Source organism: Homo sapiens, chromosome 15 (genome assembly GCF_000001405.40).
Source record: "Homo sapiens chromosome 15, GRCh38.p14 Primary Assembly".
In the NCBI taxonomy this organism is placed as follows: domain Eukaryota; kingdom Metazoa; phylum Chordata; class Mammalia; order Primates; family Hominidae; genus Homo; species Homo sapiens.
In genome coordinates this window covers 33,611,276-33,628,652 of record NC_000015.10, presented here as the reverse complement: position 1 = coordinate 33,628,652, position 17,377 = coordinate 33,611,276, and the positions used below count along the sequence as shown (strand labels likewise).

The following is a 17,377-nucleotide window of genomic DNA, read 5'->3' as shown; positions in this document are numbered from 1 at the left end:
GGCATGCAGCAGGAAGAACAGTTCCAGGCAACAAGGCAATCCCACCCTCCACCCTAACCTGGCCCTGAGACACATACCTTGCCGAAAGTCCAGCCAAGTTCTATTTTATTCATTCCCCAAAGCTCATGGATGTTTTCAGCTAGTCTGTCTCGGATCTTTTCTAGGTGAGGTGGCAAAATAACCTAAAGGAAAAGGAGCAAGTGAAAAGAATCGATTGTTTTGAAACCTATCATAAAATCTATAGGAGCTGGGCACCCCACTTGAATTGGCACATCACCCAGGAGGAGCTGCAGTATCCGACCTCATGCTGCCTGACCCACATGCTCCCCAGCCCTCCTCCCTCTTCCTTTCTTGGCTTCCTCTCTGCTCCTTGTTGTCTCTCTGACCATTGCCTCTTAGTCTTTTCTGTAGGTGTATGTGTTGAATGTTCTTCACATGTGAATACTTGCCTCACCCTATTTCCTCTCTACATGTTCTCTCACCCAGTAGATGATCACTCCCAAGTCAGGCCATTTCTAACCATGGTCTCTTTTGAAGTTTAGACTCATGGTTCCAGCTGCCTACAGGATTTTTCCATTAAAGTGAGCTCAATATGTTACCCAAAGCTGAATTCATTATTTTTCCTTCAAAATCTTTTTTCTCCTCCTGTTTTTATTTTTGCTTTTTGTTGCATGGCCCCACTACCTCTTTAAGCCTGGAAGTCATCCTATTATCCTTCCCCTGGCACTACTCCCCCATCTAATCAGTCATGAAACCTACCATGTTCATTTCCTAAGTGTCCTTCTGAGGGATTCCCTTCTCTCCATTACTCAACCTCATTATTTTCTCCCTGGACCATTCCAAGAGCCTTATAACTGGCCTCCCCAGCTCTCCACTGATCTATCCTCTACACTGCAACCAGTGGGACAAGTCTACAACAAAAAATCATGTCAAAACACTCTCTAGTGTCACCCAAGTGTTCCTTGACACTAAGACTAGATGTATTAACCACATACACAGTGCTCTTCTTTAGTTCTCATCACTGTCTCTACAAACACATCCTTTTCAAACTTCTTGAAATTCTCCCAAAAGACCACACTGTTTCACAGTTCTGTGCCCTTGCATATGCAACCTTAACCCTTATTAATACTCCCCACCATATACATCACACACACCCTCCACCACACACCCACCTTCCTCAGCACCTGGCAAATACCTTCAACGTTTATCCTCCTGCATTTAGTTCAAATGTCATCACCTTTGAGAAGTCTCCCCTGATTACCTAAAGGGAGAGTTCCTCTGTATTTTCCTGGTGTTTTGCTCCTATCTCGCCACAGGGGTCACAAACTGGGAGCCTAAGTTTTGTTTCCTCTCAGATTTTTTATTATTATTATTTTCATGTTTATTGGTTGACAATCCCTAAGAAATGGGAGACTTCATATAAAATTCCAGATTTCTCATTTCTTTTGACAACTTAGAAGATGGCTAACACGGGACCCACACTTTTGCCTGGTGTCTGTCAGCTGGAGCTGAGAACTAACCATCCATTTCAGGAGGACCTGCATGCTCGAGTGTCTATGGCTTTTCCAGGTGCATGGTGCAAGCTGCTGGTGGATCTACTATTCTAGAGTCCAGAGGATGGTGGCCCTCTTCTCACAGCTCCACTAGGCAGTGTCCCAGTGAGGACTCTGTGTGGGGGCTTCAATCCCACATTTTCCTTCCACACCACCCTAGTAGAAGTTCTCCATGAGGACCCCACCCGTTTAGCAAACTTCTGCTTGGACATCCAGGTGTTTCCATACATCCTCTGAAATCTAGGTAGAGGTTCCCAAACCTCAATTCTTGACTTCTGTGCACTCACAGGCTCAACACCACGTGGAAGCTACCAAGGCCTGGGGCTTGCACCCTCTGAAGCCATGGCCTGAGCTGTACCTTGGCCCCTTTTAGCCATAGCTGGAGTGAAGTGGCTGGGTCACAGGGCACCAAGTTCCTAGGCTGCACAAAGCAAGGGGGCCCTGGGCCCAGCCCAGAAAATCATTTTTTCCTTCTAGGCCTCTGGGAGGGGCTACTGCAAAGGTCAATGACATGCCTTGGAGACATTTTCCCCATTGCCTTGGTGATTAACATTCGGCTCCTTGTTATATATGCAAATTTCTGCAGTGGGCTTGAATTTCTCCCAGAAAACGGGTTTTTCTTTTCTATTGCATCGTTAGGCTACAAATTTTTCAAACTTTTACGCTCTGCTTCCTCTTGAATGCTTTGCTGCTTAGAAATTTCTTCCCCCAGATACCCTAAATCATCTCTCTCAAATTCAAAGTTCCAAAATGCCGCCAGTCTCTTTGCATAGGAGGAGCGACCTTTACTACAGTTCCCAACAAGTTCCTCTATCTCCATCTGAGGCCACCTCAGACTGGACCTTATTGTCTATATAACTATCAGCACTTTGGTCAAAGCCATTCAACAAGTCTTCCCAATCAAAACTTTACCTCATTCTTTGGAACCCTTGTTGAGGCCAGCATCTTCTAGAAAACCCTATCTAACACACATGTTTCTGATTACTTAAGTCAGGAGAGGCAGCCCAGACAGGAGTCACACTCATGCTTCTACTCTCTGCCTGCTTGGGCACCAGCAGCCCTGCATCCATGGATAAGCTCCTTCAGGCCTTGGCCTTCAAGCTTCTTGTCTATGAAGGAGTCCAGAAAATGCCACAGTGGTATAAGGATTATTTTGAGCTGAAGACTTTGAAAAACAAATGATACAGGATGGGGCTTTTTCTGGACTCCTCTTATCTGCCTAAAAAAAGAGCCCCCCAAAAGAATTCAACAATTTTTTTCCCAGGGGAGATTGACTTCTACCACCAGAGAAAGGTCAGCATCACACCTAAACAGGCTCTATCACAGAACTATCGTATCTCCTATCTGTTCTCCTTAGGAATCATTTATTTTTCACCAAAGACACTTATTTTCCCAGAAGTGCCCTTCTCCCCTTCTCCTTTCCCTATTAAGATGGTATATAAGCTCCAAATTCTAACTTCCTCCCTGAGCCACATTCCTTTGTGAACTCCATACCAGGTGATTAAAATGTTTTTTTCTCTTGCTAATCTGTCCATATGAGCTTAATTCACAGGACCCCAAAAACAGAACCTAGGAGGGTAGAAGAAAAGTTTTTCCTCCCTGACATCTAGAATATACAGGACCCAGATGATCTAATTCTTAGAATCACCTCTAGCTCACAACCCCCTCTCAATTTCCTATCAACATTCTCATTCCCCATTAAGGTACTCTGTGAAGCAGGCAGAGAAATACTGAAATGATATCAAAAGTGATATAGTTTGGCTCTGTGTCCCCACCCAAATATCATCTCGAATTGTAATTCCCACATGTCGGGGGAAGGGCCTGTTGGGAAGTGATTTGATCATAGGGGCAGCCTTCCCCCCTTGCTGTCCTCATAATAGAGTTCTCATAAGATCTGATGGCTTAAAAGTGTGGCACTTCCCATTCGCTCTCTCTCTCCTGCTGCCTTATGAAGATGTGCTTGCTTCTCCTTCACCTTCCGCCATGATTTTAAGTTTCCTGAGGCCTCCCCAGCCATGCAGAACTGTGAGTCAACTAAACCTCTTTTCTTTATAAATTACCCAGTCTCAGGTAGTTCTTTATAGCAGTATGAAAATGGACTAATACATAGTCATTAGCCACAGGAGGTAAGAAGCAGACTCATGAACACATACACATGGATGAATGTAATAGGGTCATACGAATATTATGGGAAAAATGCATGCTAGAGAAAGTCTCTAGGCTAAAAGAGCTATATTGGGGAAATGATTAACCCCAAGTGCCTTAGAGGCATGGTCTCTTTTCATTTATTTTCTATAACACCTAGAATAGTGATTCAAATAGCCCTGCTGTGTAGAAAATGCTGAAAGCTCTTGCATGCCCCTTGTAATACCACGTGAATGTGTCTCTCTCAAATTACAGACCCTGGAGGGGAAAGAAAATATCCATTTATCAGCATTTCCAAAGCCCTTCACGCTATTCCATTTCTCTCCCTTTTATTTTCCAACTCTTCTCCTACTTGCTCCTCCCTCTTCCCAGAGCCCAGCCATATGAGAATACGCATTGCCACCTGTCTATACTTCTACTTTGTGTTTTTACTTCTAGGCCCTTATTTATACCATTTCTTTTATATCACCCCTGGAGACCCTCCCTCCCCATTTAAGCTTTTTAAAGGCTCTAACTGAATTCCACCCTTACCACACAGACTTCTAGAAACATTCTAGCCTAAAGGATTTCTCTAGTATTTACTGGTGCATACTGTCCATTTTGCATTTATTACATTTGGCCTTTTAAAAAAATAATACATTTGCTTCTTACATCTTTAACTTGGTTGAGAATTCCCAGACAATAAATATTTCTGTCTATCCTTCACAGAATATAACACACGTAGCAGGTGCTCAACATGTTCACTGATTGAGAAATCCTTAAAGACCCAATTGACACACATGGTGAAAATGTGAGGAGTAACAGTTGTTCACATTATACAACAATTCTGGAGCATGTATATTAAGAAAGGTTCAAAAACAAGAAAGAAAGAAGTATTTAACTCTATTGCTTCATCTATATTGGTTGCCTTCTGCGGGCAATTTGAACCTACCTGACTGGTGTCTACGGGGCATGGGATGAAAGAGGCTTGGGAGAGGAACTGGGTGGTACCCAAGAGATCTCTAATGCCATCAGCATCACGTTTATATTCTTTGACAGGCTCCAATCTCATCTTCTCTTTTGGAAGTAAGGCTTCATAGCAAGGGGCATAGCCAGAGGGAGGCAGGAACTTAAACTCTCCATGACGTCCACCCATCAGGAAACGTACTCTGTCATTTGAAGATAGCAGAAATACAGAGGTTAAAAAAAAAACAATGCAGCCCAAATAAGTGAAAATTAAAGATCAATCCCTACCTCCCACCCTCAACATAATTTTGTTGAGAAGTAAACGACTTCAGGTTAACCACAGCAAACATCATCCAGTATGTAACAAAACAGCAGAGGGGTAAGTGAGCATCAAGGCTGATCCTCAGCTGACCCATCACGGCTAAGTTCCTAAACATTTATATACATAAACCACTAGGTTTTTAGAACCAAGTTTATCTGTACTCTAATAGGTAAATAATTACTATAGATATTATTGCAGTATTGAAAAACATAATAGTGATGAGATTATTCTCTGTAAAGATCATATAAAAATTACAGTGTGATAACTTCAACTCTTCTCGAGGGAGATTATCCACACATCAGTTAAAGAAAGCATGACGTAACTATATGGAGAAAGTATTAAAATCTTATTTTAATATTCAGGGGAAAAGACTAAGTAACATCAGAGTATTAATCACAAATGGTACATGGCTGGCGAGGTTACTTAAAAATGTTACACTGTGGAGACCGCATTCCCCCGCAGCAGCCATATGGGGGCGGCTGTGAGGAGGCAGCCATGGCTGCATGGGCACAGATAGGCATCAAGAGTTTGCTCACTGGGATCCCAGTGTCTTTCTTAGTATCATCCTCCTGATAGTACCCAGTCCTGACACCCTGGCCCACCTCCTGCAGTGCTCACTGGGACTTCCCAACGAAGTGGGGAAGGACACTAAAGGTCTCACAGTAATAGCAGGCAGGCTCTGATTACCACCATGCAGAAGTCTTTCAATATTGTAATTCAGTATTCTGGCTGAAAGTCAGCCTCATATATATGGGTTAGGTTAGAGTTAGATTGGACCCTAAAGTTCCCCATGCAAAAAGAAGGTGAAAGTAAGCTATTTCAAAATGATACTTCATACGATCCCAGGTTTATAATCAGAAATAGAGCTTTCACAAGTCAACTGCAACCACATTAAATTGATGAGGAAATACAACCAGTTTTCCATAATTAAAACATGGCGAGATATGGAGCTCTGGAGGTTCAACAGTAATTGAACACTGGAAAAAAGCCAATATATATGCAGTGTTTATGTACAACATTCATTCCCCTGCCCTTCTCCATTTAACAAATCTTTACTGAGCCCATACAATTAGCACTTGCTTTTGTACTGGGGATTCAGCAATGAACAAGGTATATGGCATCCCTGGTGTCACAGAGCAGGTATTCTAGCAGACAAATAGGCGTTAATTACTGATTGGGAGACATCTGATGGGGTTTTAAAAAGGGAGATGTGAAATCACTCAAGTAAGGGGTTGGCTGCTAGAGATGGTGTCAAGGAAGGCCTCTCTGACATGCGAGCTAACTCTGAGGGGTAAGGAGAAATCAGTGAGCTCAAGATCTGGAGGAAGAGCATTTCAGGCAGAGGAACAAGCGCAAAGGCTCTGAGGTGGAGAAGACCTTGGGTGGATCAGATGAACAGAAAGGAGGGTGGCGTGGGTGAGAACACCATGAGCCCGAGTGGTAGGGCTGTATCAGGCAGGGTCTATGAGCCCCGACAAGGAGGTAGGATTTTATTCCAAATGGAAAGCTGCTGATGGGTTTTAACGTAAGGAAATATAAGATTCTCCTAGTCGCCCTATGCAGATAGATCTGGGGACCAATTGGGAGACTCTTGAAATAGTCAGAGGGAGATAATGGTGGGTTGGACGGAGGTGATCCAAGCAGCCACTTCCAGTTTTGTTGTGGAATTAGGCTTGTTCGGAATTGCTCATGGACTGAGTGTATGTGTGGAGGGGGATGAGGTAAACGGAGAAAAGTTATGATTTGGCAAAACTTTCACAACAGGATACTTTCCAGTGGGCCTCACTTCCTTTCACTGGAACGTTCTGGTAGGGCAGCCTTACAAGATATTCTCAGTGTTGGCTGCATAATTGTGATCGTGGAAATATCCTAATCGTGAAACTGGAAAATAAAGCCTCTTTAAGTAAAGAGGTGCTAAGGTTTTTTTCCTTCCCAATAAGAGCAGACACTTTATCTGAAAAGCATTTTATAAAATGCTGTTTTAAAATTAATTATAGAAATCATACTAAACCTCCCAGTTTCCTATTTTAAGGTACTCAATAATAATGATATAGAGTTAGAATCACAATTGTCCCTTGTGAATGCGCCTACATTAAGTGTTATGTAATAGGACACAATCTATGTGTATTAAGAATTTGAACAATGAAATTAAAACAAAATTGAGTCATTAGCCTGCAGTATTACTAATTTAGTGAACCTCAGGAAATAATGACTAAATCTTAAAATTATTTGTTGAGAACTTCCCAATTCAATTGCAACATAACAGATTGTGTACTGACATATGGAAACCATGGGATAAAATTGGATCTTTCTGGGCAAAGAATTAGTGTGGGAAATTTTCTGCCTCTCTCTTCTCATTGAGCATCTTTCCTGTGAGCAGCTGAATGCCTAGTAGCTTGTATAGCAAGTAAGTGTATTCCATTACTCACTAGCATATGGACTCCAAGAACAAGTAAATGATCTCTTATGAGGATTTCTAGAGGAATTTAATTATTCATGAGCTCTGTTGCTAATTGTTGAGTTTCAAAATTTCTCTTAGGTTTTAAAATCTGCTGGATAAGATAACAAATCAAGAAAAGTAGAGTTTCAGGTAGCATTTAATGAGAACAACGCTTAGTTTTTATATTCAGTTATTAAAAGGAGACTGATCATTTGGTTATAAATCTGAATCTCATCTTCTCTAATGGCCACATAAACTGTAAAATAAATTAACACAGGCAGGAATCAGTGTTTACTGCATACTGAAGCTTTGGTCTTTAAACATCATCGTGCAGTGCTTCACTGGGTAGAAGAAAAGGTCCTGGATTGCTTCAGAAGTCCTGCAGATGACATTCCCTGTGCCCTCAGCAGGCAGATTGAACAGACAGTGGTCCAGGGCACACCCACCACCTGTGGCTCCTCCCCTCACTGCCTGTGAACAAACTACCCAGAGTCCGTGAGAAGCGATCCAACAAACCGCCACAAATATTGAAGGTCCCCTTCGTAACTTGCCCTATGAGATCCAGATTGATGAGATCAAAGGTAATAACTAGGGAGATAAAATTCAGGTTTGAAGGGAACGACTGAAAGAAGGTAACAAAATACTTGAAACTCATTTTAATTATCTGAGTATATGAAAGTGGGCTCCCCTCTGTCTCAGAGTTTTGGTTGAGGTCCCACAGTTAGATATATGAATCCATAATTCAGAGGATGCTAAATATTTTCACATCCTAAAGTGAAGTGCTGAGTCAACTATGTAGTATATACTAAAAAACTGTGAAACCAGTTCTATCAGCCACAGCCTATCACACACCTCTAGACGGATAAAGGAAAGAATTCCTTTGGAGAGAACTTTTAGGGAGAAAGGGAGAAGCGTTCTCCCTTTTCGGAAGCCAAACGATAAGGGTTTCAAGAAACCACGTGGAAGCTTGACAACTGTCCTCTGGAGTTTACTGAGGGACACATTTTCCTGGTGATAGAGCTGACAGTGTGAGAAAGGGCTGCATGGAAAAGAGGTGCCCTTTCGCTCAGGGTGACGCCAAGGACTGTGCTCCCTAGAAGGCTATTTAAGGGCTCCATGAATGAGCCCACCATCTGCCATCTTAAAAAGGGACTTCCCAGAAAGGCAAATGTCTGAGTAGAGATCAGAAACCCAGGGGCTGGGGGATGTGGGAAAGGGGATCTGGAGGGAGGTTTAGGGTCAGCCAGAGGGAGCAGCCAACAGAAGTGGTAAGGTTTGTGTCAAAAGAACTGTGGTCAGAAGTTCCCAGCCTGAGGCTAAGAAAACTACAAAAGGGTCCCAGAAAAGAAAGAGGCAGCAACTGTACAACTGCTACACAAAGACTCAATGCTACCTGACAATAGCACTGACTCCATCAGACATGCCTATTCTCCAGTCATCTCTCCCTGGGTCTCAACTCTAGAGGGGTCTGCAATAGGAGCTGGCCAATCAGGGAGGGGCAGACCAATGTGGAGAAGCAGCTGCCTCATACTGCAGGCCCAAGCTGGGGAAGGGCTCAAGCTGTAAACTGAATACAAATTTTGATTTTATATTCAAATAGATAGAACTTTCGAATTACTGACAAAATTGTTCTTGTTCCTAAAAGTAGTAATAAAAGCTACAGGACCTACCCGAGAACTTCTCCAGAGCATGGAGTTACAGGGGTAGAAGAAGAAGCAATAAAGTTAAACCTACCAGTCCACTTCTCTCAGTAAATTGTTACCTGGCACTTCATGTTTATCTTTTAAATCCTTTGCCTCATTCACAAATGAGAAATGTCCAGTTGGAATGTAAATCTCCCCTCTCTACATGTTTTCCTCCCTGGCTCCTTGAGTTCCATGGAATCACCCAGCATCCCCAAAATGTTAAATTTAAAATTAAAAAGAGAATTGAAGAACTGATTTCATTACAATTAGTTCCTCTTTATCCTCAGATTTTTCTCTACATTAATGGATTTAAAAAATCAAATTCATTAATCTATTTAATCCGTTCCACCACAGCACTTGTATCATTTTCTGGGGTTCTTTCTATAACTCAGATATTTCATCAGCTCTCAAAGATTTTTTCCTTCCTAAAGTGTTTACAGTAAGCGACTCTGTCCTTAGATTCTTTCACCTCATAGATGAGCAATAGCTTCAGTAAGAGCTGCCTGGGAGTAGTGAAGTTTTGGGATGTGTAGAGGAAATTTTTATTTACTTGACTGATTTTGAAAACACAGGACAAATTATATTGAAAAATCTCTGCCAGCATTTTCAACTTCGTCTTTGAGATTTGTGCATTTTTGCTTGTTAATTTGCAGGAGAGATGGGTCTACCTACTACAAATTCCCAGATTTGAAAGATTGACCCATTAAGAAAAAAATATAGTAAAAATCATGACAAAGCTGTGCTGTGCTCAAAGGGGGTGACTAACTTTCCTTTCGTTAGGCTATCATATTATTATTCAGAGCTTGCTAGCAAACGTGTAAAATCATTTTAGTCTTGCTAGATGTCTCATTACTGTTATCTGCTATCGAATTCCTCCCAGAGAGCTGGGATAATGTTTCACAGAAGAAAAGGATACAAGCTGTGGTTAAGAGGAGAAAGAATGAGCCAGCTTTTGCTGACCTGAATTTGACTCGTAAGTCACGATTCATAATTGCATCTTTAGCCCCTATCGCTAAGACTGGAGAACAATCTGAGTTATGGACATTCCCACATTCATATTTCTTTCTGGCTAGTGTTTGATGAAAGCTCAGGGCAATCCAGCCAGTGCCCATCATGTTCTCTGAAGAAGCATATTTATCTCAGCAATAATTTCCACAGCATTGACCACAGCAAGCTGGAAATAGCTAAGCTGTTGGTTACCTGAATTTTAGCCAAGTCTGGAGAATACCAACAGAAAACAAACAGCAACCACAAATACAACATCTTTGGATATGGTTATTTTTATAAATTAGAGCTGGCAAAAGAGTTACATAAGATGATTAAATAGATTTATGGGGAGTTTAACTATAGCCATAAAATATATTCTATGATGCCTAACTCATGAATTTTCTGCAAAAAAAAATTAGCACCCAAATTTCACTATATACTATGGCTTTCTGTATAATGCTGTCTATCTGATTCATGCCACTTGTGGGGTGTATATAAGATCAACTTTTAGTAAGAGCTTCCTGGCATCTAAGTAATTCAGCCTTTTCGGTGGGCTACAAGGTACATATACCTCATCCCAAATTCTATTCTATAATGAATACGGTTGTTACACTGGGGGCCTACTGCACTAACAATACTGTCTATAAACAAACCACATTGAGAAGAAAACTATGGAGGCATATTCATTAAGAGAAAAGAGGCTATGACATTGATTTGTGGGTTTTGTCAGTAATTACTCATGCTAACTTTGACTTCACTGTGGGTAAATCTAATTGAAAAAGATTTTTGCTCTTCATGTAGCTTTGCTCTTCGATGACGGCTGGCAGGGACATCCTAATCAGGTATTATTAACAACATAGTTTGTAAGTATAAAAATTATTTTAAAAATTCAAGACAAGGATCTCAGTAAAGACCATTAAACAGGAGGAAACAGGACTGTGAAAGAGAACTCAAGTCTAACTTAGAAGCCATACGGAAGTTAAAAATAAATATGAGAAACAACTCTGAAGACTTCTATGATGGGAGAAAAAGAATCTCTTTCTAGACAGGTATAACACTTTGCATCTTGCTGGGAGAGATGCTATAAAACCAGGCAAGTGATCTACAGTATTGGGTGAAACAATAATTCCTTTTCAATTTCATTATAAAATACGTTTTTTTTTTGAGTCAGAGTCTCACTCTGTCGCCCAGGCTGGAGTGCAGTGGTGTGATCTCTGCTCACCGCAAGCTCCGCCTCCCAGGTTCACGCCATTCTCCTGCCTCAGCCTCCCAAGTAGCTGGGACTACAGGCGCCTGCCACCACGCCCAGCTAATTTTTGTATTTTTAGTGAGACGGGGTTTCATTGTGTTAGCCAGGATGGTCTCAATCTCCTGACCTCATGATCCGCCCGCCTCAGCCTCCCAAAGTGCTGAGATTACGGGCGTGAGCCACCACGCCCGACCAATACATTTCTTTTCAATAAGATACTTTAATTAACTTGGAATTCATATTGTGGTTTCTCTTTCTAGCTCTTTGTTCAACTGAACTAAAGTAGTACAGAGAAGAACTGCTGGGTTTCAGCACCAAATCATACTTTACCAGTTGATGTAAGAATAACACTTGGGTTGTAGAATACCCAATCGGTTTATTTTGATTTATAAGCAACTGGCTAGCCCCCAGTACAGGTCCTGCACTGACCCTGACCAAGGTCATCATGTGATGCACTAGAGGCATTTCAGTAAAATGTATTTCCCAACTACACAGACCCTGTGGTTCCACCTCTCTTCAAATCACAACATGCTGTGAGACCCGAAGCCAGGAATATATCAGAGCTCATAGTTTCCTGAGAGACAGGAAGCTTGAGTGACTTCAAGCCCCGCTGCACACCCCACTGGCACTGCTTTTTAGCCTTCCACCTGTTCAGCTGCTATAAGCAAAAAGCTCTCAGAGCTAAGCTGTTGGTTCTTCAAGTCAACACATCTGGACCCTTCGGTTTCTTAAATTTCCTCAGCAGTTGTGCCTCCTAAATGATTAGTCATCTCATTCTTCTTCTCTTGCAACTTTGCTTCTCCTTTATCTGTGCACTCAGAAGGCTGCATGATCTGCTGACCTAGACACCAGATCCCAGAAATGTCTTCTACATGTGGATACCTTTCAGTCAACTATTTTTTCACCTGCTAACTGCGGTTCTTGTCAAGAGGATTCCAAAAAAATCCCTCCACTACCCTCTAAAAAATCACAGACACAAAGATCCTATCTCACTGTTCTGAGGGAGACGGAAGGGATGAACTAATGATTCAGAATCATTATGCAACATTTGAGAGCAGATGTACCATTCTCTAAACACAAAATGTGGAAAAGTTCATTAGCTAGTAGACTGGAGAAGATCCCTTCTCCATAGATCTAAATTTGCCTAAGTAGTTTTTTCAGATGACTTGCTTGTGAAATAGGTGTACTCCCTTTGAAAATGAGTAAAAAACCATGAGTGGACATGGGCAAAATAAGTAAAAGTGGGAGCAGTATTAATGGTGGGTGACCAAGGCCACCAGCTACACATGCAAATGCAGTCCCGGGAACTGACTACTCAGAGTAACCTTGTTTCTTCAGGAAAGTTCCTGAGTCAAAGGGTGTATGATCCCAACACTGTTGTGTTGTATTTATATTTGTACTCATTCTCTTTATTCCTAAGGAGTGGAGTGGGGAAGATGGAAAATAGGGCTAGAAGGTCCTTTCCCTCTTCCAGAAGGCTTTTGCTCCAATCAGATTTTTCTGTGCTTACAGCGCCTCTCTTGTCAACAACACTCCCCGTTTTCCACATGCTTCTGATGGCTGTCAATGAGAATAGCTCTATGTGGTATCCTCACATATTTAAAAAGGAAGAATTGGGATGAAATATCCTCAGCACAGAAGAACTTTCAACTCTTAGAACACAGTGCCTGCAGATAGCGTAAGATTCCCTGGCTTGAATATGTGATGAGAAGATTTTCAACCTCAGTAAAGCTTTACTCTACTGGTTCTCCATTTGTTACAAGAACCTCAAACAATGCCAATATATAACTTCAATATATTATATCCATTTATATGAATATGTTTGTAAATATGCTTGTGTATATATACAAACATACACACACATCTGTCTCAAATTCCAAAGGTTGAGTACCATTCGCATAGGACAATTCTTTATTTCTAAATAGTTTATATAATTGAAACAGAACCAAAATCCTACTTTGGAAAACATATAAACATATCTTGGTTTACCAATCCACCTGAGGTGCTGAGGCCTACTGGAGTGGTTTCACCCTGAAAATCCCCTCACTTGGACCTGGATCCCTGAAATGGTTTCTTTGTGATCCCAGATCTCAGCTCCTGCTTCCCACAACTCTCCTCCTGCCATGACCCTTTCCAGGGGCTTCCATGGACACTAGTATGATTCTATGTTGACTCCAGTCTCCTGCTCAATTGATTGTGATCTCTTTAAAATACAGGGATGAAGAATGGCTGAGGAAAGTTTGGGAAAGAAGGGTTATTGTGGGGTTTTGCCTTACAGACATTAAAATGAATAACGTGGTTAAAATAATTAAAAATAGCATCCAACTGGTAGGTACGAGGAAAGAGGCAGAGAAATAGCAATAGTATATAGGAAAGCAGCATGCATAGCACAAGCCCAATTAAATGAACAATATTTAACTGTGTATATAAAAAGCCAATATGATTATCTCTAGGTGGTACTATTATGAGTTCCTCCTATTTTCTTTGATGTACATTCCTTTTGTGAAAAAGAAAAACAAAAAACAATAGGAAAAAACCCAAGTGTTAAAGTATAAATCAGAAACTGGGAGAAATATTTGAAACCAATAAAAAACAGTTTAACATCCTTAATATAAAATTATTATACATAAACATGTAAATATATTACATATACTATATAAAGTCAGTATATCCAAAATATGTAAGATATCTACCAAAAAATAAATATCAGAAAGGCTGAGAACACAAAGTTAGCAAAAATACTGTGTTGGAAAAAGCACATTAAAAGTAAGCATAAAAAATGTTTCACCACATTCGTAATAAAAAAGAAAAAATTAATACTCTAAGGTACAATTTTTCCAAATCAGCAAAGATTTAAAATAACAAATAACAGTAAAAATTAATAAGGATCCAATCAGTTGGACATTCCCATATGTTGCTTTAAATGATACTGCAAGCCCAAATCCTTTATCTGAAATCATTAGAGATGTGCTTCAGACTTTGGAATTCTTTAGAATTTTTTTTAAAAGTTACCCGTTATGTACATTAAGCAGAAACTGCAGCCAGGTGAGGGGCAGTACATCATAATCAGACACATTAATATCTCTGCAGTTAAACATATAAATATTCACAAGCCGTAGAATAAATGAAAGACTGAAAACAGCCTCATTTCTGCTGATGACAGTTTTGTCACAAAATGAGTTCAGGTTAGATTTTATTACAAAATGAGTTATGAACAAATTTATGGTTTTCAGAGCTTTTTAGATTCTAAAGTTATTGATAAGGAATTCTGAACTGTTTAGAGAATCTCAAAATCAATTTGGCCACATAATTATAAATTTAGACTTTAAAGCACACATGCATTCTGACCAAAAATGAAATTGGCATAGACTTGAACAGCAAAGTAATGGCTGTATCATGAAACAGCCAAATAAAGGGCTATTATATGGCTATAAAATCATTTTGAAGATACTCAATGACTCAGGAAAAGGCTCATTATTGTTGAATAAAAGATAATCAAGACATAAACTTCATATTCGGTGTAATACCAATTAAAAAATGATGTATATTTGTAGAAGAAAGGACTTGAAAAATATGCCAAAGTATTAATAGAGATTATAGCTAACCATTGGAATCATAGGTGATTTTTACTGTGTTGTTCATAACTATTGTCTTTGAAGTTTTTCTTATAATGAGCATGTAATACTTTTATAATTATTAATTTTCTACACAGGATTTATCCTATTAATCTTACTGTTTATCTGAGTACATAATACAACCCCTGGGGGAGGTTCTACCAGTAGAGATGGAGCAAATGACTCTAGTTGGCTCTTGCCCTTGCACCATCACTGTCCTGGGGAACTTAGTTCACAGTACTGAAGCCCTGAAGGAGACTGCTGGCTTCGCAGCTCACAGTGGTGGCGGGGAGGTGGGGTAACTGCTACTCTCCATGAAATCACAGCCATAACTTACTTGACACCTGCTGAAAAGCTCATCACAGGGAAGAAGAGCCCGTCTGTGTTGAAGTTCTCAAACATCCCCTGCACGGGCTGCCCATTGATGCGGAATGAGATGCTGGGCACCCCGAGGTCCAGGCAGCAGCTTACCACGTCATCCGATCTCAGGAGGTGCTGGTTGATGGAAGCCACAGCTCTGGGTATCCGGCCTGGTGAGGAAAGAACAGGAAGAAGGCTGTGGAACTCTGGAGGCACCTGCTAGGCTGAGAAAGGCTCAGAGGCCTCTGCGGGAGGTGGGGAGGTGTGATGGGTACTCAAGAGGTCCGGAGGTACTACTGCATTTGAAATGCAACTTTCCTTTTGTTTCCTTTTGTGTGAGATGAGCAATGAGAAATGAATTCCTAAGCTGGCGAGTGGGCAGACACCATGCCTGATTTGCGATGAGTCTCAGGGGAAATGCTCAAGCTGCTAAGAATGAGAAATAACAAAAACTTAATGTGCTCAATGAGTGTTCAGACTGTGGCCTGGTGTCTGAAGTAACAGACAGACTGCTTTTGCTGGTGTAGCTTGCTCTTCAGAAGTAGCTGGTGTGTGTGTCTGTTTAGTTGTAAGTGCCCAAAGACCTTCCTGTCTTCTACTTCCTCAAAAAGATTAGACTGCTGTAGAGTTGAATAGAGAAGCCATCAAAGAGAAGAATGGCAAGGCCATCTAGCCATTAAACTATGCTACATAGGCTGGGCACAGTGGCTCACGCCTGTAATCCCAGCACTTCCGGAGGCTGAGGCAGGTGGATCACCTGAGGTCAGGAGTTCGAGACCAGCCTGACCAACATGGAGAAACCCCGTCTCTACTAAAAATACAAAAGTAGCCGGGTGTGGTGGCGCATGCCTGTAATCCCAGCTACTCGGGAGGCTGAGGCAGGAGAATCGTTTGAACCCGGGAGGCAGAGGTTGCAGAGAGCCGAGACCGTGCCATTGCACTCCAGCCTGGGCAACAAGAGTGAAACTCCATCTCAAAAAACAAACAAACAAAAAAACTATGCTACGTAGTTTGCTTATTTGTTTTAAAGAACTTTATTATTTCGGATAAGCAGGAAAACACATTGCCAGTTATACTCTGAATTGATTAAAAAACTTCTTCACATCTCTTTCATTAGATGATTTATTATTTCCTGACTTAAAGTAGTGAGGAAAATCACCTCTCTGCTTTCCTATATCATCTTATTCTGGAAATTCTAAAAGTAAATATTAATAATTATAACCACCTACCCCTCCCCTCTCAGGTTTACATTTCTATTAGAAAGAGAGCAACAAAAGAGGAGTTAGGTTTTAAAATAGAGCTTCCAGCAAAAGATAAAAAGATATCTTGTTTCTTGATTACAGAAATAATATGTATTCATTATAAATGGTCACCATTTATACAGGAAAGTATACAAAAAGGCTGGGGAGCTCATGCCTATAATCCCAGCACTTTGGGTGGCCAAGGCAGGCAGATCGCTTGAGCTCAGGAGTTTGAGACCAGCCTGGCCAACATGGTGAAACTCTGTCTCTACTAAAGATACAAAAATTAGCTGGGCGTGATGACGTGCACCTGTAGTCCCAGCTACTTAGGGGGCTGAGGTGGAAAGATAGCTTGAACCCAAGAGGTGGAGGCTGAGGTGAGCTGAGATCATGCCACTGCGCTCCAGCCTGGGCGACAGAATGAGACCCTGTCTCAAATAAATACAAAAGAAAAAATATAACTCCATAAAAATTCTTCCAAATATATATGTACACACTCTATTTTGATGGAGTTATATATATTTTATGGAGTTATACACATTTTTTTTTCTTTTTGGAGACAGAGTCTCACTCTGTCGCCCAGGCTGGAGTGCAGTGGCACAATCTGGGCTCAATGCAAGCTCCACCTCCTGGGTTCACGCCAGGAGGCTGCCTCAGCCTCCCAAGTAGCTGGGACTACAGGTGCCCGCCACCACGCCCGCCTAACTTTTTGTATTTTTAGTAGAGATGGGGTTTCACCGTGTTAGCCAGGATGGTCTCGATCTCCTGACCTCGTGATCTGCCTGCCTTGGCTTCCCAAAGTGCTAGGATTACAGGCGTGAGCCACCGCGCCCAGC

General features: G+C 41.3%; 1 protein-coding gene across 20 annotated transcripts in view, besides 1 other annotated feature; it reads right to left on the bottom strand.

Moving 5' to 3' along the window:
• The window catches only part of RYR3 (ryanodine receptor 3), a 555,136-nt gene that overhangs the window by 237,450 nt on the left and 300,309 nt on the right, over positions 1–17,377 (bottom strand). For all 20 annotated transcript variants that reach the window (XR_001751370.2, XR_001751371.3, NM_001036.6 and 17 more), the window contains 3 exons: positions 15,278–15,470; positions 4,630–4,846; positions 78–182 (listed from right to left, as the gene is read on the bottom strand). Coding sequence is in view for 18 of the 20 variants with exons in the window: in NM_001036.6 (NP_001027.3) it covers positions 78–182; positions 4,630–4,846; positions 15,278–15,470 (515 nt within the window). In the remaining 2 variants the exon portion in view is untranslated. The remainder of the gene's footprint in view (positions 1–77; positions 183–4,629; positions 4,847–15,277; positions 15,471–17,377) is intronic.
• Positions 15,416–15,917: an enhancer, noted in NCBI's record as "OCT4-NANOG-H3K4me1 hESC enhancer chr15:33904937-33905438 (GRCh37/hg19 assembly coordinates)". NCBI's record gives its function as "activates a minimal SCP1, AML or CMV promoter by ChIP-STARR-seq in naive H9 embryonic stem cells {active_cell/tissue: H9 hESC(naive)}" and the evidence as "EXISTENCE:reporter gene assay evidence [ECO:0000049][PMID:30033119]".